The 23,601-nt window shown below is 42.5% G+C and overlaps 1 pseudogene, besides 6 other annotated features; it reads left to right on the forward strand.

The window, feature by feature from the left end:
• Positions 1–1,115: 1,115 nt before the first annotated feature.
• LOC124901549 (uncharacterized) lies at positions 1,116–1,208 on the forward strand (annotated as a pseudogene).
• Positions 5,009–5,303: an enhancer, noted in NCBI's record as "tiled region #6592; HepG2 Activating DNase unmatched - State 4:PromP". NCBI's record gives its function as "activates a minimal TATA promoter and a strong SV40 promoter by Sharpr-MPRA in HepG2 cells {active_cell/tissue: HepG2}" and the evidence as "EXISTENCE:reporter gene assay evidence [ECO:0000049][PMID:27701403]".
• Positions 5,009–5,303: a silencer, noted in NCBI's record as "tiled region #6592; K562 Repressive DNase unmatched - State 1:Tss". NCBI's record gives its function as "represses a minimal TATA promoter and a strong SV40 promoter by Sharpr-MPRA in K562 cells {active_cell/tissue: K562}" and the evidence as "EXISTENCE:reporter gene assay evidence [ECO:0000049][PMID:27701403]".
• Positions 12,509–13,080: an enhancer, noted in NCBI's record as "OCT4-NANOG-H3K4me1 hESC enhancer chr6:4655389-4655960 (GRCh37/hg19 assembly coordinates)". NCBI's record gives its function as "activates a minimal SCP1, AML or CMV promoter by ChIP-STARR-seq in naive H9 embryonic stem cells {active_cell/tissue: H9 hESC(naive)}" and the evidence as "EXISTENCE:reporter gene assay evidence [ECO:0000049][PMID:30033119]".
• Positions 13,081–13,652: an enhancer, noted in NCBI's record as "H3K4me1 hESC enhancer chr6:4655961-4656532 (GRCh37/hg19 assembly coordinates)". NCBI's record gives its function as "activates a minimal SCP1, AML or CMV promoter by ChIP-STARR-seq in naive H9 embryonic stem cells {active_cell/tissue: H9 hESC(naive)}" and the evidence as "EXISTENCE:reporter gene assay evidence [ECO:0000049][PMID:30033119]".
• Positions 17,796–18,614: an enhancer, noted in NCBI's record as "H3K27ac-H3K4me1 hESC enhancer chr6:4660676-4661494 (GRCh37/hg19 assembly coordinates)". NCBI's record gives its function as "activates a minimal SCP1, AML or CMV promoter by ChIP-STARR-seq in primed H9 embryonic stem cells {active_cell/tissue: H9 hESC(primed)}" and the evidence as "EXISTENCE:reporter gene assay evidence [ECO:0000049][PMID:30033119]".
• Positions 21,429–21,723: an enhancer, noted in NCBI's record as "tiled region #4929; HepG2 Activating non-DNase unmatched - State 21:Repr, and K562 Activating DNase matched - State 8:EnhW". NCBI's record gives its function as "activates a minimal TATA promoter and a strong SV40 promoter by Sharpr-MPRA in HepG2 and K562 cells {active_cell/tissue: HepG2 | K562}" and the evidence as "EXISTENCE:reporter gene assay evidence [ECO:0000049][PMID:27701403]".

The following is a 23,601-nucleotide window of genomic DNA, read 5'->3' on the forward strand; positions in this document are numbered from 1 at the left end:
ACCAGCTGCATTATCCCCTAACAGGAGAGTCAGCCTGTCCTTGAAGCTTTGAAGCCAGGCATTGATTTCTCCTCTGTAGCTATAAAAGTCTTAGTTGGTGTCTTCTTCCAATACATGGCTGTTTCTTCTACATTGAAAATCTTCTATTTAATGTAGCCACCTTCATCAATTTTAGTTAAATCTGCTGGATAACTTGCTGCAGCTTCTCCATTAGCACTTGCTGCTTCACCTTGCCCTTTAAATTACAAATACGGCTTCTTTCCTTAGACCTCATGAACCAACCTCTGTTGCTTCAAACTTTTCTTCTGCAGCTTCCTCACCTCTCTTGGTCCTCAGAGAATTGAAGAGAGTTAGGGCCTTGCCCTGGATTAGGCTTTGGCACAGAGAAATGTGGTGACAGGTTTGATTTTCTATCCAGACCACTAGAACTTTCTCCATATCAGCAATAAGGCTGTTCTGCTTTCTTATCATCTGTGTGTTCACTAGAGTAGCACTTTTAATTTCCTTCAAGAACTTTTTCTTTGCATTCACAAGTTGGCTAACTCTCGGGCACAAGAGCCTAGCTTTCAGCTATCTCAGCTTAATCATTTCTACCTTTTGATTTAAAATAAGAGACATGAAACTCTTCCTTTCACTTGAACACTTAGAGGCCACTGTAGGGTTATTAATTGGCCTAATTTCAACATCATTGTATCTCAGGGAATAGGAAGGCCCAAGAAAAGGGACAGTGGTGGGAGAACAGCAGGCTGGTGGAGGGGTCAGAACACACACAGCATTTGTGAATTACATTCATCATCTTCTATGGGCATAGTTCGTGGCCCCCCAAAACAATTACAATGGTAACATTACAGATCACCAGAACAGATATTATAATGATGGAAAAGTTTGAAATGTTGTGAGAATTGCCAAACTATGACACAGAGACGCAAAGTGAGCAAAGGCTGCTGGAAAAATCATGCTGATAGACTTGCCCCACACAGGGTTGCCACAAAACTTCAATCTGTAAGAAACGTACTATCTGCAAAGTGCAATAAAGCAAAGCACAATGCAACCAGGTTTGGTTGTGAACTCTTTAGCCCCTTCTCAGATGTCCAAGAGAAAAACAATAAATAATAATCCTTTTGTAGTTCATAAGCTGATGGTTGGGTTTTCACGCTCATGTGTGAGATGTGTTCCTTCATATCTGTCAACACACTACCGGGCTGTTGTGACAACAAATGAGTAAACAGGAGGCACAGGCCCATTGTATTGCATGTCTGGAAACAATTCTCTTCTTATAACACAGCTAGGGTTCATGTGTATCATTTCACAATCTCATTCAATAGTAGGTAGTGATTTCCAACAACAGAAAGTGCACATTTCCAAGCCACACAGTCAAGGACCTCCACAACCTGAGTTTCGAAACTTGGGGAGAATTGTGTTAAGTGAACAAAAAGGTTAGACATTTTAGGTGGAAAAAATCATACTGGCAAAGGTGTGGTGGTAAGCAGGAAAGGAAAATTCCACAGATGCATGGCCACCATGGCTGGAGAAGAGGGTTCCTACAGCATACAAAGATGTGGCTTTCCCATAGACTAGGTGCCATCTCTAGGGAATCACTCCCTCCTCTCCCCAACCCATGTGGTCATGCCTGCTTCTCAATTCCTGACAACTTGGGTTTCTACCACCTGTTAGCACTGCTAACTTACACTGCTTTGTATTGCTAATGATTTTTTCCTACGTGGTGTATCATCCCAGTTCAGTGGTAAATTTCCAAAAGACAGTGATACCATCTAGTGTGAAAGTTTACCCGGATCCTGGCTAACACAGTGAAACCCTGTCTCTACTAAAAATACAAAAATTAGCTGAGCGTGGTGGCATGCGCCTGTAATCCCAGCTACTTGGGAGGCTGAGGCAGGAGAATCGCTTGAACCCAGGAGGCGGAGGTTGCAGTGAGCCAAGATCATGCCACTGCACTCCAGCCTGGGCTACAGAGTAAGACTCCATCTCAAAAAAAAAAAAGAAAAAGAAAGTTAACCTGGAGCAGGGACTTGAAAAGTATAAACAACCGATTCCTTCAGAAAACAGAGAGAGGGGCACTCGAATTATTAATAAACAGTTGGATTAAGATCAACCTCTGGAATGAAAATGGCTGATTAACTTAGTTGTAAGTCACTTATGCTGATTAGCAGCAGATGAAACCTGCTATATTGATAGAGGTTTGTCAACATTACACAAAATTTAATTTAAAAACCATTCCATCAGTAGGATAATTTTAATAATCTGATGGTACTGAAGCCTTTGTCACACTAAATGATTTTTTTAAAGTTCTTTTTCTTATGTAGAAGATAGGATCAAGCAAACACCTGCAGCTGGTCACATGTGCATTACTATGTGACTCTACAGTGCCCCACTGAAGCCAATGTCACTTCCTCCAGGCCCCAGTCAGTCATCCTCCCACATTCCACAGTGCCTTTGTCCAGACCTGCTATGCTGTAATCTTGCAATAACCTTTGGAGTTGCCTCTTTTTATTCAATGAAGTCTGCTGTCAAGCAAGGAAAGCTGGTTGTAAATGCAGCATTCAGGGATGCAGGCCAAGTTCATCGCACTGAAGTCCTATCATTGTTAACAAAAACAAAATAATTGCTGCATGTTGACATACCGCAAGCAAGGGAAGTAACTAAACTGACATCAGTGGAATGGGGTGGGAGGGCCATGAGATGAGACAATCTCTACATTGCATTAACAACCTCTGTGTCTGCATTTATTCCAGCACCTTCCTTTGAACTCATTATGGTCCTCTCCAGACAACCCTCTCATTATCTCAAGGTTGAACTACTTCTCCTGGAACAGTGTCTCTTCACAATTATGATGGCTCCAGACATTTGAGAGGGAGCCAGTTTCCCTTTAGAATACATTAGTGTCTTTCAAAAGTAAATAAATGTTTACTTTGTCAAGCAATTAATTAAAAACAGCAAAGTAGGTGAAAGAATGACAGAAAGAAAGAATAAGGAGGTGTTTTAAGGAAAATCCTGTTGGAAACTTTAGGTGGAGAATGACACCCATTCTTTCATTCATTTGGTTTTATGCTGAAAGCAGACAAGGTATTTTACAATAAATGATATATGAATTCTAAAAATATTAAGGGAAGGGAAGCAAAACAGCAAGAGACAAGAGACAAGAAAAGAGACAAGACATGAAAAGGGTGCAAAAATTCTGTCAGAAAACCTAGGTAAAAGGAGCACAAATCTTAGCTCTGTGATCCCAATCAGGGACTACAGGGGGAGCTGACCAAGAGCCACAGGAGGGGTTCCTAGCCCTGGCTGTGCCTCGGACTCAAAGGGAGGGGGCATCTTCAAAGTCTGGTCATCTCACCCTACTCAAACGCACTGAATCAGAATCTCTAGGCCTTAGACCAAGACATCCGTCTAATGAAAGGAAGCACAAAAAACCATCAAGAGAAACAACCTTTAACTCCCAAAGGAATTTATGACATATGGTTTTCTTTTAAAGCCACTAGACAAGGAAATGGACCGCAGTCAATAACAGATAAAGAACACCTTCAGAGATGTTTGTCACAGGGCTGTTTCTCACACCAACCCTCAATAAAGGCTGAGGACATAAAGGGTACCTTAAGCCTTGGAAAGAACTTTCTCCTCTGCAGCCAGCCTTGTGCTCATCTCATCAGAGCAAGCATAAGGACTAGACTAGGGGATGTTGGATGGCACGTGCTTTGGGCTTCTTCGCCTAGGCTTGTGGTGAGACCCAAATGAGTAAGGTCATGCACATAGCAGGTATCCAGTAAACATTAGTTGATTATTGTTATCATCATTACTTTTTTTTTTTTTTTTGAGACAGAGTCTCACTTTGTCACCCAGGCTGGAGTGCAGTGGCACAATCTCGGCTTACTGCAACCTCCACCTCCTGGGTTCAAGCAATTCTCTTGCCTCAGTCTCCCGAGTAGCTGGGACTACAGGCGCACACCACCACACCCAACTAATTTTTGTATCTTTAGTAGAGACGGGGTTTCACTGTGTTGGCCAGGCTGGTCTCTAACTCCTGACCTCGTGATCTGCCCACCTCAGCCTCCCAAAGTGCTGGGATTACAGGCGTCAGCCACCACGTCCGGCCAAAGCAACCTCGAATGGGGCCAGATACCCAACACATGCACGAGTTTTGCTCTGACCTTGGCCTGGAACACTTTGGAACAGCCTTTGTCTCCCACCCACATTTCTGATGACCCATCAGAAAGCTCAGCTAATTCCTCAGAATCTGTCATCAATAATCTCATAAGGTTCCCTTTCTTCGGAACATGGCCTATGACATCCTTTTTAAATGTTCTCAATTCCTGTGAAAGGCGGTTCTTGGCCCTATAATCCCAGCACATTGGGAGGCCTAGACAGGTGGATCACCTGAGGTCAGGAGTTCAAGACCAGCCTGGCCAACATGACAAAACCCCATCTCTACTAAAAATACAAAATACAAAAATTAGCTGGGCATGATGGCGGGTGCCTGTAATCCCAGATACTTGGGAGGCTGAGGTGGGAGAATCACTTGAACCCAGGAGGCAGAGGTTACAGTGAGCCGAGATCACGCCACTGCACTCCAGCCTGGGCAACAGAGTCAGAGTCCATCTCAAAGAAGAAAAACAAACAAACAACAACAACAAAATTGGGGAGGTTCTTCCCGGGAGTCATCTCTTTTCAAGTTTGTTATTCAAGAGAGTGTAAAGGTTGAGAGTTAAAACCATACAGATGTCATAAACTGCTGCCCAGACAGTAAGTGACAGTAAGCTCACACTTGCCACCAGGGCGGTAGCCAGCTTCTGATCACTCGTGAAATAAAAGCCAAAGGGCATCCCACGGGCAGGTTTCATTTGCTGAGGGTGTGAGGAATTGGCTCTATGGCTTTTATATAGACTCACAGGTACCAGTCAGTAGCAGAGGGCGCCTGTAGCCAGGACCAACACTTCAAAGTGTCCTCCTTGGTAGAGGCAGTGCCATTCTGGAGAATGAGGACATCTTTAGGACCTTAGGTGAGGTCTGAAAGCCCTGGACACTGCGGGACGCTAGGCAGCCAGGCACCCTTGGAACCGAAGCCGCCTGGGGAGGCAGGAAGCCGCAGCTCGTGCTGCTGTTGACGCCAAAGCCGCCTGTCCCCACCCCCTCTCGCTCCCGGGAGAACCGGGCAGAGGGAAAACCTGGAGAGATGGAGCTGGAGTTGAGGAAGGGAGCTTTGGCTAGACCCCGGATGGGCAGGAAGGGGAGAGAGAGAGAGACTAAAATTGAGTGCAGCATTGGTTTTAGAAATAACTTTAGGAATAACTGAAAACGCAAAGCTTGAATGTCATCTTGGGGTGTGAGATAGCAGCCACAGTCCCTTTTTAACTCTGCTTATAAATATGTTTAACTAAAATGGCTTTGACTACAGTAATGCCCACAGCCGGTCACAGGTCATAGCTGGAAAGACCAGCAGTGAAATCTCTTCTTTAAAGCCAACACATTTTCTCTGTTCCTAAAATGTTTTGCCTACCAAGCCCAGGGAGCCCCACAGAACACACCTCCTACGTGGAAACCAGATGCAAATTCTATGGTACAAGTGGTTCATCGGTACCTTTGGAAATCCTAGAACTAGAGACCTGTCAGCGGGATGTCAATCCTCAGGGAGATCTCAGAGCATTTCACTAGAAGCCGGTGTGGGGCAAGTCATGTCAAACATTTCTGATAAGGCTGTGATTTCTGTAAGGCTTGTTTTTTACATAAACATTTTTAAATCATATTTTTTCAGATAATAAAAGCAGTATATGCTTTCTATTTTTTAAAAAAGCACTAAAAACAATAAATAAATTAGATCAATGCACCCCTACCATGATCCCAATCCTTAGAGATAACCACTGTCAACTGTTTGATATGTACTTATCCACATTTTTCTCTGCATATATGCTATCTTACAAAAGCAGGATTTATATCTATGTACTCAGATTCTTAGTGACTCACATTACTAGGAAGGTGATCTTCAAAAGTAAATTAATTTTTAAAGTAATTTCAGTTTAACTTTGATGTTCACATATGAACGTGTCACTTTTTTAACTGAGCATTTCACTAGGAGAACTCAATATCATCATTTGATAGTGAGGCAGTATTGCGGTTCTCATACAAAAGATAGCAGGCAGTAATTATCAAATAATCTTAGTTATTTGTATAGTTAACAAAAATGATCTAATATTAAGCAATTATTGAGTCCATACTAACTTCTAGGTACTGTCATAAGCATTTTACTTACGTTAACTCTGAAGAACAACCTTATGAGAAAGGTAGTAATATCCTTTTTCAGGTGGAGAAAAAGAGGCTCAGATAAATTAAATAATGTTCCCAAGGTCACACAGCAAGTAATTGCTGCACAGATATTGAAATGTATTCAAAGCAACATCAATATATGTTCTATCCTGCTACCAACTGTTCAAGTCATCAGGTTATAGTTATGAAAACAAGCAGATAAATAAATCAACATGTTTAAAATTGTTTTGTGATTCAACTATGTATATTATGGAGTTCTTAGTGACAGTGATGAGTTTGTAGTCCATCCCCAGGTACTTACCACCAGTGTGACCCTCAGCAGATCTTTTAGCTGAAACACAGCTACAAACTGAAGATGCTGTCTATAATAACACTGGGCTCACGGAGCTAAAGTGAGGTTTAAAGAAGGCAATGTATATGAAATCTCCTTGAAAACTGTAAAGAACTATCTAATATGATGTTAAGGACATATTTATGTGGCAATTCCTCATTCAATTACAACAGGCTTTATAACTTCACATTTATAATAATTCCATCAGAATACAACAAATGCAGAATTTTTTTAACTAACTGAAAATAAAAGGCGGCTTTCCACACTACTCAAAGTCACGGCATATTCCCCGAGATCATGTCTGTAACCTCTCCCAGGCTCGGAAAACCTTGTTTTCCAGCCATACTTTTTCCCATTCTGATACTGAAGTGTTAGATTAATTTTTATTTTATCAACATAATAACACTCATATATTTTGTCAAATACTCAATACAAAAAAAAAAAGTTTCTGACCTAACTCCCCAATTTTCTTGCTGAATACTACCATTTTCCTTTCCTTCCTCTCTTTCTTCCAGTATTTACGTTCACATTTCAAAATGATACGTTTATTCTGCAACTTGTTGATTAATCTATTTTAGTGTATTATTGACTTCCTATTAGAAAGATAAGGATATTGTTTTCATAAACTACTTCTCCTCCTCCATTTTCCTCATACTCCAAAATGGGGTTACATCATAATCATGAGTCATGTGTTCCTGAGTCGGTATTAACATTGTTATGGTTATCTAATATTGTTTACCACTGAGACAAAGGGTAAACTATCACTACTATTTCCTCTCCTGTAAAAAGAAACCAAAAATGGCAAACAATAGAGATAACCAATGAAACCAAAGGCTGGCTCTTTGAGAAGATTAATAAAATCACAAAGACTCTAGACTGAGCAAGAAGACACAAATTACCAAAATCAGGAATGAAAGAGAGAACATCATCACAGATCCTACAAATATTAAAAGAACGATATAGGGAAGAATATACACACGTATATGCCAATGAATTTGAAAAATTGCATAAGTGGTCACATTGCTCAAAAGATACAGATTACCAAAACTGGCACAAGCAGAAATATAAAATATGATAAGGCTTTATATCTATTAAACAAATTCAATTGTAATTTAAAATCTTCTCACAATTATAAATCCAGGTCTTGATGGCTTCTCTTATGAATTCTAACAAATACCTAAGTAAGAAATAATACCTATCCTATACAAATATTTTTATAAAATAGGAATCAAGGAACATTTCCCATCCATTTTATGAGGCCAGTATTGCCCTGATACTAAAAACAAAGACATTAAAAGAAAATAAAACTATAGCTAATATTCTTCATGAACATAAAGGCAAAAATTCTTAATAAAATATGAGCAAAACAAATCAAACAATATTTTAAAAGGATAATATATCATGATCAAGTGGGATTTATCTCAGGAATTTAAGATTAGTTTAACATTTGAAAATTAATCAATGTAATTCATCATATTAATAAAATAAAAGTAAAACCCTATGATCATCTCAATAGACACAGAAAAAGCATTTGGCAAAATTTAACATTCATTCATGATAAAAACTCTCAGCAAAAATGAACTTTCTCAATCTGATTTTTTTTTAAATCTATGAAAAACCTACAGCTAACATCACACTTAATGGTGAAAGACAGGACATTTCCCCCGAGATGAGGAACAGAGCAAGGATAGTCACTCTCAACTACTCCTATTCAACATTGTACTAGAAGGCACAGCCAGTGCAAATAAAGTCATCCAAATTGGAAAAGAAGAAAAACTATTTATTTGTAGACATGATTGTCTATATAGAAAATCTTAAGAGAAATATGAAAAAGCTACTAGAATTACTAAAACTAATAAGAAGGCTTAGCAAAGTTGCAAGATACTGTTAATATTTAAATATCAACAGTATTTCCAAACAATTGGAAAATAAAAAAAAAATTTTAACTTCACATTTACAACACGCACACACAAAAATTAAATACCTGAAATACCTAATGATAAGCTTAACAAAATATAATCAAGATGTGTATGCTGAAAAGCATGAAACATAGCAGAGAGATATAAAAAGACTCAAATAAATGGAGAAATAAATAATATTCATGGATAAGAAGACTCAATAGTTATAAAATGTCAGTTATTTCCAAACTGATCTTTAGACTCAAAAAAGGAATTTTTTTGTAGAAATTGACAAACTGATTCTAAAGTTTATATGAAAATTTAAAGCATCTAGAATAGTGCAATTTTGGAAAAGAAAAAAGTCTGAGGATTTAACACTACCTGATTTTAAATCTTACTAAACTGCTACAATAATCAAGGTAATGAGCTATTGGTATATAGACAGACACATGGATCAAAAAAACTGATTAGGGAGTCTAGAAGTGGACTCACATGTACATGCCCAACTAATTTTCAACCAAAGTGACAAGGTAAGCCAATGGCTCAAAGACAGTATTTTCAAATAAATTGTGCTGGAACAATCAGATATCCTATGACCCTTACCTCAAACCATACACAAATGTTAACCCATAGACTTAAATGTAAAAGATAACACTATAAAACATCCAGAAGAAAACATATCCAATCTCAATCTAACAAATATCTCACATACAGAACATAACAACCACTAACCATAAAAGAAAGTATTAATATGTGGAACTTTATCAAAATTAAAACCACTATTCTTCTGAAGACAATGTTTACAAAAAAAGGCAAACCACAGAATGGGAGAAAATATTTGAAAATGTACATTTGAGAAAAAAATTGTATCCAGATTACGTAACAACTATTACATTCATTGTTATATTCAACAATATAAACAACCCATTTTTTTAATAGGGGAAAGACTTGAATAAACACTTCAAAAAAGAAGATATACAAAAGTTTACAAGCAAATGAAAAGATATTCAACACATTATTCCAAAAAAAGTAATTTAAAAATACCATGAGATATCACAACATATGCATTAAATTAGCTAAAATTTAAAAAACCTGATAATCCCAAGTGTTGACAAGCAATGGAGCAACTGGAACTCTCATATATTTTGATATGCATGTAAAATGGTACAACCATTTTGGAAAGAAGCTTGGCAGTTTCTTATAAAGTTAATCTTATATTTACTATATGACCTAACAATTCCATTCCTATCCATTTATTTAAAGGAAATGAAAATGTATGTTCACATAAAGTCATAGACACAAATGTTCATAGCAGCTTTATCATTAATCGCCCCAAACTGGAAAGAACCCACCCAAGTTTCCTTCAATAGATGAATGGATAAACTATGATACAGTCATAGAGTGGAACAATATATAGCAGTAAAAAAGAATATATGGCTGGTATATGCACCAACATGGATGAATCTCAAAAACATTATGCTCAATAAAAGAGATCACGCTCAAAAGACTATAGTTATGTAGTCCGTGGGGAATGGATCTGGGACCTTACTTGCATACCAAAATCCTCTGATGCTCAAGTCCCAGATATAAAATGGCATAGTATTTACCCACATCCTCCCATATCCTTTAAATCATCTCTAGATTACATATAATACCTAGTACAGTGTAAACAAAAATCATTGTCATGGTGTATTGTTTAGGGAATAATGGCAAGAAAAAATAAGTCTATACATGTTCAGTACAGACACAATGTTTTTGCCCAAATATTTTTGATCCATGGTTGGCTGAATCCATAGATTTAGAACCCATGGATACAGAGGGCTGATTTATTTATATGACTCTATTTATATTAACTTCTAGAAAAAGTAAAACTATAGTGGTGGAAAGCAGATCAGTGGTAGTCAGGGTTCAGGAAGTAAATGAAAGGATAATTAATCCCCTTGAAAAGGAGTCCAAGAAATTTTCTCGGGTGATAGCAGCATTCTGTATCATAATTGTAGTGGTGGATACATGATTGTATATTTTCAAAACTAGGGATTCTCAGCCTTGGCACTGCTGATGTTCTGGGCAGCATAGTTCTTTGTTGCAGGACTTTACTGTGCACTGCAGGATGTTCAGCAGTGGCCCTGGCCTCTATCCAACACGAGGATCACACTCACACCCCCTCCCAAGTTGTGACCACCAAAATTGTCTGTAGACATTACGAAACATCTCCTGGAGGAGTGAAATCACTTCTGGTTGAGAACCACTAGTCAAAACTCATCAAATAGACTGGGCACAGTTGCTCACATCTATAATCCCAACACTGGGAGGCTGAAGCAGATGGATCGCCTGAGCCTAGGAGTTTGAGACCAGCCTGGGTAACATTAAATTAAATTTAACAAAATAGAATTAAATTTTATTTTTAAAATTCAAATTAAAAAAAAATTTTTTTAGATAGGGTCTCACTCTGTCACCCAAGTTGGAGTGGCATGATCTTGGCTCACTGCAACCTCCACCTCCCAGACTCAAGTGATCCTCCCACCTCAGACTCCTGAGTACCTGGAGCATAGGTGCATGTCACCACCCCGGGCTAATTTTTGGTATTTTTGGTAGAAACTGGGTTTCGCCATGTTGCCCAGGCTGGTCTCAAACTCCTGAGCTCAGGCAATCCACCCACCTCGGCCTCACAAAGTGCTGGGGATTACAGGCTTGAGCCACCACACCTGGCCAGAAATTTTCTTTTTAATTTCAAAAAAAGAGAAAAAAGACCAGGCACGGTGGTTCAGGCCTGTAATCCCAGAACTTTGGGAGGCCAAGGTGGGCAGATCACCTGAGGTCAGGAGTTCGAAACTAGCCTGGCCAACATGGCAAAATCCCATCTCCATTAAAAATATAAAAATTAGCCACAGGTGTGGTGGCGTATGCCCGTAGTCCCAGCTTCTCAGGAGGCTGAGGCATGAGAACTGCTTCAACCTGGGAGGCGGAGGTTGCAGTGAGCTGAGATTGTGCCACTTCACTCCAGCCTGGGCAACAGAGGAGACTCCGTCTCAAAAAAAAAAAAAAAAGAGAGAGAGAGAGAGAGAAACTCATCAAATAGTAGACTTGTAAAATAGAAATTAGTGAATTTTAGCATACATAAATCCTACCCCAATAAAACTGATTTTTAAAATTTAGGAAGCAGTTTAGGCCCAGGAGATATGAGTTCACCCTTACACATTTTGCATGTCCCTCATTATAATCGAATGAGAAGCTCTACAGATACTGAAATAATTTTTCTGCAGATTTTTAGAAATATTCAATTTTTTGAATTAATTCAGCATTGTTACTGAAAAACCTGATGTGATCTTAATGCCTGATTCTTTGTGACCATTTTTATTCCTCTGAAAGTTTTTAGTCACTAAATTAGGTTCTTATAATAAGCCCATTAAAACTGGAAAATTAAGTCCTTTTCTAGGAAGTTTTCATGCACGCTTTATTTAAAATTTTTTCCTGTCTGTTTTCTCTATTCTCTTTTCCTAGAACTCCAGAAAGATATTGGGACTCCAGAAAACACCTTCCCATCTTATCTAATAGTTGTCTGTCTTTTTGTCTTTTCATTCTAGGAGAGGGCCTTTGTCTTCCAACTCTTTCTGAAGTCTTTGTTTCAGATTTCTTATCTGTAATTCCAAAGAGTTTTTTCTTGTTCTCGAATTGTTCATCTTCTCTAAGGACGCTATTGTAATTCGATTCCTTTTCCTCCAATCCCTGCAGGTGTGTCCCTTCTAGAGATAATGCCACTTTCAGCCTCTCATGTTGAAAGTTGTCCTTGGATGCATGGTGATCACCTTAGCTGTTTGTTCATATTTAACTAAGATAGGGGCCTTAAAATTGGCTGTCCTGTAAGCATGGGTAGAACGTGTTGAGTGGTTGCCTTCGGAAAATGATAAAGCAGCAGAAAGATGATTTTTCTTTTGGGAAAATGTCAATGTCTGAAGGTGTTTTCTCTTGAGAATTTACAGTCCCTCCAAGGGTGAATTTTCCATCCCCCTGCGTAGGAAGAACATCCCGATTTCTGGTGTTCCAGGCAGAGAGCAAGGGAAGCAGGCTGATGCAAGGAAGCATCATTCTTCCCAACGTTCCCTTATAACTCCCATTTTGAGCCCAAATATCATCCTTGCCTTCCACTGAGCCCTGTGTCCCTGACTCTGAAGGCTCTTAAATCAGGATTTTGAAGAAAATGGTTCTTCCCCTGAAACAGAATGCTGTGAATAAGACTGTCCTGGAGGGGCAGAGTGGAAATAGATGCTGTGGGGGAGGGGAAGGGCTGTCAAACGCCATGACCAGGTTCATCATCGCCTCTCTCCTCCCCTCTACCTTTCTCCCTGGTTTCCATAGAGCAGAAATCTGGGTCAAGGTGGAGTGCATTGGATCAAGAGTTGCTATGATTTGGGAAAAGCTCTGCAGGATAAGTCGTGAGTTGAGTGGAATGTGGTTTTGCAGAATAAAGGAAAGGCTAAGGAGAGAAAAACAAGAGGAGCAGCTGAGGGCAGCCCGAAGGGCACCAGCTCCAAGGTGCAGGCCGAGCTCCTCGGGGAGGCCAGCGTGGCTGGAATGTAGGGTGGCAGCAAAAAGAGAGCGCTCCACATAGAGAAAGGGACTTGCAGGATTTCTTTCAAGGGGCTGTCAATCTCCAGCATAGGCCCTTTCCTGAAGGTAACCTGGGAACTTAGAAGATGTGCACTGAGACATTTTAAGAAACCCAAGAGTAAAAGGGGGTGCTTTTATGGACATGTGTGGCTGTAGGAGGAGGCCTGGGCTTAGAGCAAGAGCAGCTACAGGCGATAACATGGGCAAGGAATCCTCAGGGTTCTGCTCCTGCCCTCGAGCCTCTGCTTCACGTGTCCTCAGGAATAAAATCAGACCTTGCAGAAACTCAATCTGGGTGAGGAGCTGAAAAAATATATAAGTTGAAATTTTAAAGCTGCAGGCTTCTCACTCCTTCTCCAAATCCCAGGGCTAGAGAATTATATTCTAAGAGCATCTATCTCTCCTAATTCTGCTTCTCTCTAGAGGGCAAAAGTCAGGACCTGATTTTAGGAGTTGTTTTTCAGAGTAGGGAGCTCAGCACCTCATGCATTCACCCCCTCCTCCCTGAGCCCCTGGGAACTCTCCGGTGTGGAGCTGGAGGAAAAACCAGTACAGTACTCTCTCAGGAAAACAAGCTCAGAGGCGGAATCAACAAGACAGCTGACGAACACATCCTCTTCAAGAGAGGCCAGGGGTAAGGAGGATGGCTAAACTCAAGTTCTTATCTCATAGGGAGGGAAATTAATATTCATTTTTTTCAAAAGCAAGAAAAGATAAAAAAAGAAAACTTGAGATAAAGAAGGTAGAAACAGGTCTAATATATCAATAATTAAATAATTATAAATGATTATATTTATAATATATAATATAATAATTATAAATAATAAATGTATTTGGAAGGAATTCACCACTCACTTGATTAACAAATTGAATTTTTAAAATCCAGATATGTGCTATTTATAAGAGACACTCAAGCATAAGGACATACAACAGTTGAAAGCAAAAGGATGGAAAATGACATGATAGGCAAATATGAACAAAAAGAAAGCTGTGTAGCATATTAGTATCATATGAGCCAGGCTCCTAGACAGGAAACATTATTAGGGATCCAGAGGATCACTACAAAGTAGTAAAACTTTAATTCATCAAGAAGAGAACAAGCCGGGTATGGTGGCTCACGCCTGTAATCCCAGCATTTTAGGAGGCCAAGATGGGCAGATCGCTTGAAGTCAGAAGTTCAAGACCAGCCTGGCCAACATGGCAAAACCCTGTCTCTACTAAAAAGTACAAAAATTAGCCAGGCATGGTGGTGAGCACCTGTAGTCCCAGCTACTCAGGAGGTTGAGGCAGGAGAATCACTTGAACCTGGGAGGCGGATGTTGCAGTGAGCCAAGATCATGCCACCGCACTCCAGACTGGGAGACAGAGCGAGACTGTCAAAAAAAAAAGAGAGACAACAACTTTAAACATAAATGCACAAAATAAAATAGCCTCAAGTATATTAGGTAAAATTTTTTGGAACTAAGTGAATTTAGCATGGCTTTCTCAGTTACTGATAGATGAAGACAAAAAAATCAGCAAGGATATTAAAAATATGAACCACTCAATTTCAAGTTATGACCCACTCAGCTGACATCTAATGGATATATTGAGTTCCTTCAAGTATTAGAGAATATACATTTTTCTCAAGAACACATGGAATATATGCAAAAATTTGAGCATGTACTAAGCCATAAAGAAAGTCTCAACACATTTTGAACTTAGATATGAAGCAGACTAGGAACTCTGACCACAATGAAATTAAATTAGAAGTTTAAAGTATACATTTTAAATGACTACATATTTAGCAGTACTGCTAAACAACACATGGGTTAAAGGAGAAATATCATAATAAAAAATTTAATATATCTAAAACTGAATGACAATAAAAATAGCAAATATCAAAATTGCTCGGATGCAGCCAACGTGTACTCTGAGGGAAGTTAATAGATAATTACGTATATTAGAATGAAATAAAATCCCAAAATTATTGAGCTAAGTGTTAGTCTTAAGAAGTGAGGAGGAACCAACAAACTCAAAGACATTAGAATTCAGAACATAAAAATAGGAGCCAAAATCAACAAAGTAGAAAACAGAAATACAATGGAGAAGAATCAAAAGGCTAAGAACTGGTTCGCCACTAAAACTAACAATACAGATAAACTTTTCAAGATTTGTCAAGACAAGAAGATAGAAGTCACAATAAGTAATATTATGAATGAAATGGGGGGTGTTATACATAAAGTATCCATAATACATAATAAGAGAATATGACCAAAAACAATATGCCAAAAATTTTGAAAACTTAGATAAATATCTACAAAACATAATTTATTAAAACTGACTTAAGCAAAAAACCAAAAGGTAAAACTTGAATAATGCTATAATTATTAAAGAAAAATTATTCTCACACACACACAAAAAGTACCAAGCCCCCATGGGTTTACAGGTGAGGTGAAATTTTCAAGGACCAGATCATCTAGACAAAAGAAATTCTTCCGGACAAAAGAAAAATTCTTCCAGACAAAAGAAAATGAGGGATTACTCCCTAACTCCTCTTATAAGGGGAGATGTTAAAGGAGAATGGACAGTGAACACAATTAAGAAAAATCGCTGCCCCATGGAACTTACGTTCTAGGGTGAGTATGGGAGGGACACACAGTAAATAGGTAAAAGATACAGTATGATAGATGGTGGTAACTGTTACGGAGAAAACTAAAACAAGAAAGACCCAGGGGAAGTGGGTGATGCCATTTTAAGTAGGATGGTCAGGGTGGACCTCACATTTCAGGAAGACCTGAAGGAGGTGAGAGAAAGAGACCCATTTTTGACTGGAGGAAGAACAGCGCAGTCAGAGGGAGCAGGAAGTGCGAAGGCCCTGAGGTGGGAACACCACTGGCATGTGCAGGGGTGAGACAGAGGAGTGTATGACTGGGAGAGGGCAGGTAACAGGAAGGAGAGTAGGAAATGAGGGGCCAGACCTCGACTGTGACTCAAGAGAGTGCAGCACAGGAGTGGCAGGATCTGGCTTACATTTTTGCAGGATCACCCTGCTATTATGTTGAAAATGCACTGAAGGAGTGACGGTGGAAGCAGACCCTTTAGGAGGCTATTGCAGCAATCCGGACAGGAGATGATGGCGGCTCAGATGAGGTGGTGCCGTGGAGGAGGAGGGCTTACATTCTGGGCAAACCTGAAAGATGCAGTCTACAGGATTTACTCGTGGATTGAATTGGGGTGAGAAAGACAGAAGGAGTCCTGGGGGATCCAGGGCTTTGTTTGGGCTGGAGCAACTGGAAGGATGAAGTTTCTGTTGAATTTGATCCTTCAAACCACAAAGAGAATGAGAAGAGAGTGGGGAGAGAGACAGGGAGACAGACAGAGGGGTAGAGAGACAGAAATTTTCACATGCTTCTCTTAAGAAAGCCAGCCTCCCCAGCACCACCCCAAAGTCAGCCATGAGGCAAGAGCAAATGGCTGTTTGAGGAGACAGAGAAACAGCATCATAGACAGGCATGACGCAGGAGAAGCAAGATGCCAGTTTTCAAAAAGTAGAACAGAGATTGTGCACATAGCCAGCAAGAAAAAGCAGTGGATTTTCATAAAACCTACATTTTTTATTATTATACTTTAAGTTTTAGGGTACATGTGCACAACATGCAGGTTTGTTACATATGTATACATGTGCCATGTTGGTGTGCTGCACCCATTAACTCATCATTTAACATTAGGTATATCTCCTAATGCTATCCCTCCCACCTCCCCCCACCCCACTACAGGTCCCAGTGTGTGATGTTCCCCTTCCTGTGTCCATGTGTTCTCATTGTTCAATTCCCACCTATGAGTGAGAACATGCAGTGTTTGGCTTTTTGTCCTTGCGATAGTTTGCTGAGAATGATGGTTTCCAGCTTCATCTATGTCCCTACAAAGGACATGAACTCATCATTTTTTATGGCTGCATAGTATTCCATGGTGTATATGTACCACATTGTCTTAATCCAGTCTATCATTGTTGGACATTTGGGTTGGTTCCAAGTCTTTGCTATTGTGAATAGTGCCGCAATAAACATGCGTGTGCATGTGTTTTTATAGCAGCATGATTCCTTAATTTTTTTTTTTTTTTTAGAGACAGGGTCTTGCTATGTTGCCCAGGCTGGTCTCAAATTCCTGGGCTCAAGCCATCCTACTGCCTCAAAAGTGCTGGCATTACAGGCATGATCCACAGTGCTGGGGCAAAACCCATATTTTAATATTGCTTACCAAGACAGACTTATAGCACCTCAGTGAGGCTGGCAGTGCAGTGATGATTAGGTGAACTTACAGAGGGAAAAATGGAGGCCTAGTGGTTAAGTGACTGGCCCAAGGTCACACTACCAGTAAGAGCGATTACTGGGACTAAGCCCAGAGCTTCTCACTTGCAGTCTGGGGCTCCACCCAGCCCACACTTTCTTCCTGTAAGGTCACTGCAGAATTCTCTCATTTGTTTCTTTCTGCAGCTTGTTTTCTTAAGCCACTTATTTCAGGGTTGCTTTTATGAACAGCCTGAGTTAACCTCAATAGCTATGATTTCACTGTCAATAAAACAGCTTTACTTGATGCTCTCTCTCAACCCTCTGAACATATTTTTGTTCAAAATAATGTCCTCAGCAAATGGGGAAAAAAGCAAACTCCACTTCCACCCTGCCCACCACCCACCACCCCTCCATATTCTGACATAAAATAGACACCAGCCACAGTTAACTGTGGCATTTGAGTCCATTTATGACACCATGCAGCTCCCATGGCCAGGCGAGGAGCCTGGCAACCCCAGCCCCAGCGGGCAGGAGCGCTGGTCCCACCATGCCCTGGAGGAAGGGAAGCCCCAGAAAGCTGAATGCCCTGTGCCCGATTTATAAATAGCTCTTCAGAGGCATGGGCTCTCACGGGCGGCCCCTGCCAACTCCCTTCTGGCGGCCTTTAATTTTTCCATGCCAGGCCCACCTTGTACCCGACCCCGCCCCACAAAACAAAGGTCCACCCTGTGTGGGATCCTCAGCCCAGCAGCCCCCCTCCCACCCCAGGGGCACGCCCCACCTTTACTCAGGCCAGAGATGGTTGAAAAGCAGCAAGACCTCGGGAGGGCACAAGAGGGCTGAGGAGGCAAGAAACTTCACTAGGACGCCCCCGCAGCAGGGATTGGGGGGGCCAGCTGCCAGCCCTCTTGGCTGGTCCTGGCCTCCCTTCCTCCCACAGTTCCGTCTCTGCTGTTGTCTCCAACAGGCAGGGTCTGATCTGCCCCCACCCCACACCCAACACTTGTTCTTAAAGGAGGAGGAGGACCATGACGTCTACCAGTAAAAATAATCCCTGTGTGCAACGATATTTACATTCTTCTTCCACTGTACAGTACAACCCTTCCAGCAGCGCTGGGGACAAGCCAGGAGACGGTGACTGTGCTCCCGGGGCCCGACCCTGTGGAGACTCAGCTTTCCTCCCATTCTCTGGCCAGGGAGCTCCACGGTCCATCTGTGGACAGCTCTCTTTGCAGGAAAGCTCTTCTCTATGAGGATGAGCACCACCTCCTCTGGCCCAGGATCGACCCCCACAGGGACTTCTGCCCAGACAAGCCATTTGGACTTTGCCCCCCATCACCATGGCCATCAGCTATCAGGAGAGAACCAGCAGCAGCCCTGGCTCCCACCAACCACGACACATGACTCCGTGGCCCCTTCCCAACATACCTGGGCTCTGAGCTTTGCGTGCGTCCCCCGCCTCTCTCACTGCCTATTTATGTGCAAAGTGAGCTACCTCTTCCCAGGAGTCCTGAGCCAGCTCCCAGCCACATGCAGGCCCTGAGCATGCGCTCTTCCGTGGTTTACCTGTATAGCCCCCCAGCAGTCCCAGGAGGCAGGGGCTACTACTCTTCCCTTTTCACAGCCTAGGCCAGGGAAGCCCTCAGTTAGGCAGTCTGCCTTGAGAGAGGTGAAGCTCCCGGCCTGGTGTCTAGAAAGCAGCAGCAGCAGCACCAACAGGTACTAAAGATGAACCCAGCTGTACATGCTCATAGGCACCTGTCTTCCCTGTTGGGAGGCTGAGGCAGGAATGTGAGACCAGCCTGGGCAAAATAGCTAGACCCCATCTCTAAAAGAAAAAAAAATTAAAAACTTAGCTGAGCATGGTGGCTTATGCCTATAGTCCCAGCTACTGGGGAGGCTGAGATGGGAGGATCACTTGAGCCCAGGAGTTTGAGGCTACAGTGAGCCATGATCATACCACTGCACTCCAGCCTGGGAAACAGAGAGATCCCTTCTCTACCAAAAATAAAAAAAAATTTTAATGACCCCAGAACTCTGAGTTCATAATTGGTTGAGTGCAGACTGGATGCAGCAAGTCACGCCTGTAATCCCAGCACTTTGGGAGGCTGAGGCGGGAGGATTGCCTGAGCTCAGGAGTTCGAAGCCAGCCTGGACAATGTGGTGAAACCCCGTCTCTACAAAAAATACAAAAATTAGCCAGGTGTTGCAGTACACGCCTGTAGTCCCAACTACTCGGAGTGGGGGCTGAGGTGGGAGGATGGCTTGAGCCTGGGAGGCAGAGGTTGCAGTGAGCCAAGATTGCACCAGACTTTGTCTCTAAATAAATAAACAAACAAGTAAATAAATAAATAAATGGGTGAGGCCAACATGAAGAAGAATGAAGGAAGTGTTACTGGAGAGGACTGAAGACTGTTTTGGATTCTAGCTGGGTCAGACGGTTGGGGGCTGGGGGACGCACTCCAGAGACAGGAACCGGAGCGGGCACAGGCACACAGAGGCGTGTCTTGGAACATCTGCTATTTTAACAGGAATGTGGGAAAAGGAAAATCTGGGGCGTTGGGCTGGATGGAGGGCCCTTTAACAAATGCCCACCGAGCTCCCCGCAGGCTCTCTCAGGATCTGGGGAAGGAGGACCAGCCATGTGGCAGTTCCACATGACTCATTCATCCTTTAACCACATTCCCTGTCACACAGCTCAGGGAGGAGGACTACGTGGTGGCAGGCTGGGGAGTGATCTTCCGTCCCACCAGACAGGAGCCCACCCAGGACACTGCAACCCAGACCCTTCCCCTCAGAGGCCAAGCCCCAGCTCAACCAATTCACTTGCTCCTTCTCACTTCAACTCCAATGAATGCCAATAAAATCTCAGCCATGAATGGAACAGATGCCTGCAAACATTTTTATTATTAAAATAATGCCTTCCTTGTATGAACATCTCATAATTGAGGGTCAAATATAAGCAAAAAGCAGACTCAAAGCCAGCCATCCCTGGTTGACTTGTTGACAAAATAATTCACAGACAGTTCCCAGGCCCTCGGCCACAGAGCTGTAAACAAGCTTCCAGTTGCTGAACGAACCATAATAGACCCGAGATAAAACCATTCGTCTTCAAGTCATCTCAGGACCCAGGAGTGCCAATTCAAATGGTCACGCACAAGCACAAAACACCGAGCATGAAACATCACGTTTCTGCTGTATTTGATTTCTGTACATTTTCAATGAAATGTCTGGGCATTTCAGTATGGCTAAGTCAGTCTAGGGGTATTAGGAATCAGCCGGGTAAACCAGTGCCCTGGGAAATGTCCCAAGCCAGCTTAGGCATGATCTGAAAAGTCCCTGCAAGTTTCTCTTGCTTTGTATGTTACTCAGTGATAACAGTAATTCAATTCCATTCCAGAACAACAATATACATTGGGTTTCCATTGCATCTTCAGGATCCTGTTCCGGGATATTCCTGAAGACTGCCGGTATCCAGTATTTTACCCACTTGATCCTGGTGCATGTACAGGAAGACATCTCAGACCACACGCTCTGATTTGAGACGGTAGGCCCTATAGTTAGCATAATTATAGAGTGAGCAAGATAACTATAACTTAACCATGCCCTGAATGAGTATGCAGTCAGTGCCTACAGAAGGCCACGGGAACATGTGTAACTACGATACCAGCAGGAGGCAAGGAGTGACAGGGTCTGGAGCTAACAAATTACTAAAGGAAGGAAATCATTGCAACTCAGAGGAAGGCTCTGTAAAACCAGTGGCATGCCTCTGGTTAGCTTAGAGCATGAGTGAAATTTCAACAAGTCAGTAGGTATTGGGAGGAGGAATACTCTTAGGCCAGGTGCAGTGGCTCATGCCTATAGCCCCAACTATTTGGGAGGCTAAGGTGGGAGGATTGCTTGAGCCCAGGAGTTAGAGGCTACAGTGAGCTGAGATTGCACCACTGCATTCCTGCCTGGGCGACAGAGTGACACCCTGTCTCAAAAAAAGGGATATTCTTGATGGAGGGGGAAAGTGAATGTACGTGGTATGTTTAAAGAGCAGTTAAGTTATGCTCTCTTGTGCCTTGGAGTTGGGTCAAACTCCAAGAAGATGGAACTGCAAAAGCAGACTGGGTTCAAGTTTGCAAGGCCTAGAAGGTCATGACTACCAGAGCCTGGCTACGTTTCTCCTTTCCTCGCGTGACTCAGCTGGACTGCATTCCCCCAGCTTCTCCCACAGTTAAGTCTGACCATGTGACTCAATGCTGGCCAACAGAAGGTAGTAGAAGTGATGTAATGTACACCACTTCCAGGACTGGCCTGAATCCCACCTCCTCAGGCCGTGACTGGGCCTCCATCCAGGGGTTTCTGCCTGGACACACTCTCTCTCTGCTAGTTTGGATGGCAACACCCATGGCAAGCTTGGAGCACACCATGGAGACAACAGAACCTCCACCAACGTCATCCTTGGTTGATTGTGTGCCGGGGAGCACACCACCGCCTCCCACCCAGCCCCACTTCCCAAGGGACTTTTCCTGAGTGAGGAAGTTACAGGATGCTAGGCTGCTGAGATGTCAGGATTCACTTGCATGAACTCTGAAGTCAGCATTTCTCCAACTAAAATACCAGGGTTGGGGTCGCATGTTCTTCCTTAGGCCGTGCTTTGGGAAGGGAAGCCTGGGGGCAGCGTGGAAGCTGGTGTGGACGCAGGAAGAAAGCCACAGCAGGACCCTGTTGAAAGACTACTGAAGGGCAGATAAGAGATGAGAAGTGAGGAAAGACAGTGACTGGGAGAGGAAGGAAAGGAGGAGATATTTTTCATCATCCACTCCCTCTTTCTATTCAACTTTTATATCACTGTTAATTGAAACAGATTTCTCATAGCTCACCAGTGACCTCCTCATCCAGAACCAAGGATCATCTTTCTTATTAGCGGTGCCATCCTGTAGCATTTGACCACTGCCTCCTTTTTTGGAGGCTGTCTTCCCTTTCGCCACCCCCAGTCCTTCTTGTCTCTGAACCTCCGTTCTCTCTCCCTCTTTCTCTTCCACACCACCCCCCGACCCCGCCACACCACACACACTCCTCTCTTCCACCTCAAATGTAAGCTGTCCCAAGGTTCTGGCTTTGCACCTGCTCTTCTCTTTTCTCTATGTGTGGAATCCCCAGGGGGCTTCATTTGCCATCTGCCTTCTCCCTTTCTACTCGCCTTCCCCCTTTCTACTCACCATCTCCAGAACTGCCTCACCAGCCCCAACTTCTCTTCTGAGCTCTAGATCAAAATGTTTGATTTGCCATCTGAACAGCCACACACAGATGGTCTGCAGGCACCTCGAAAGCAGCCTGGCCAAAACAAAATTCATTCCCTTGTCACCCCCTCTCATTACTCCCCACCCACTGAGCAATGCTGCTGTTTCTCCATTTCTAGTTGTCTGAGACGGGAGGTTCAGCCACAAGCTGGTCATGAAGGGCTCTGTGGAACACCTTGCTAACATCAAGGTGTGATATTTCCCTGGAGGGTCTAAGACCTCCACCCTGGATCCCCCACACCTTTCCACAATTGCTCCAACACTCATTCCACTTTTACAGCATGTCACCCCCTTGTCACAATTCCTCCAAAAGTAGAACTTGTCTCCAAATTACATGGAAAGGTGTCCACACTCCACTGGGATGACTCAGCACGGCTCAAATAAGCTTGTTCAAATGTTGGTGGTCTTTTCTTACTGTTTTCTCGTTTATCTTGGATTTCAATTTCCCTTTTAGCCAAGTTTATTTGCTCCTCTCAAATCTGAAGAAGATTCTTGTTCAGGAAGTAATGACCAAAGATAATTTAAGGTGTTTTGATATTTCTTAATCATCAGATGGCACTGTGCCATTTTCTCTGGGTCATGGACCGATTCCTTTTCTCATTCTTCCTGCTCATGACATAGCTTTCCAACCCTTTTCGTTCTCCTTATATTCTTCACAAGATTTAATGCAACCCAAGCTCTACCTGAATTAGTCAGGACTCTTCTGGTTGCAGAAATCCAAGTGGCAGAAATCCAAGCTAAGTTCATGGGAGCAAACCAAGAGAAGGACAGGCAGAAGAGGAGACAGCCACGCAGACCACCAAGCTGGGGACTCAGACCCCATCGGGGTTCACCCACTGTGCTCTGGCCTCAGTTTCTCTTTCTGTGTGGACTTCACCCAGCCAATCCACTTTCTCACTGGGGTGGGTTCATGGGAGCAGCTCTGA

Source organism: Homo sapiens, chromosome 6 (genome assembly GCF_000001405.40).
Source record: "Homo sapiens chromosome 6, GRCh38.p14 Primary Assembly".
Lineage (NCBI taxonomy): Eukaryota > Metazoa > Chordata > Mammalia > Primates > Hominidae > Homo > Homo sapiens.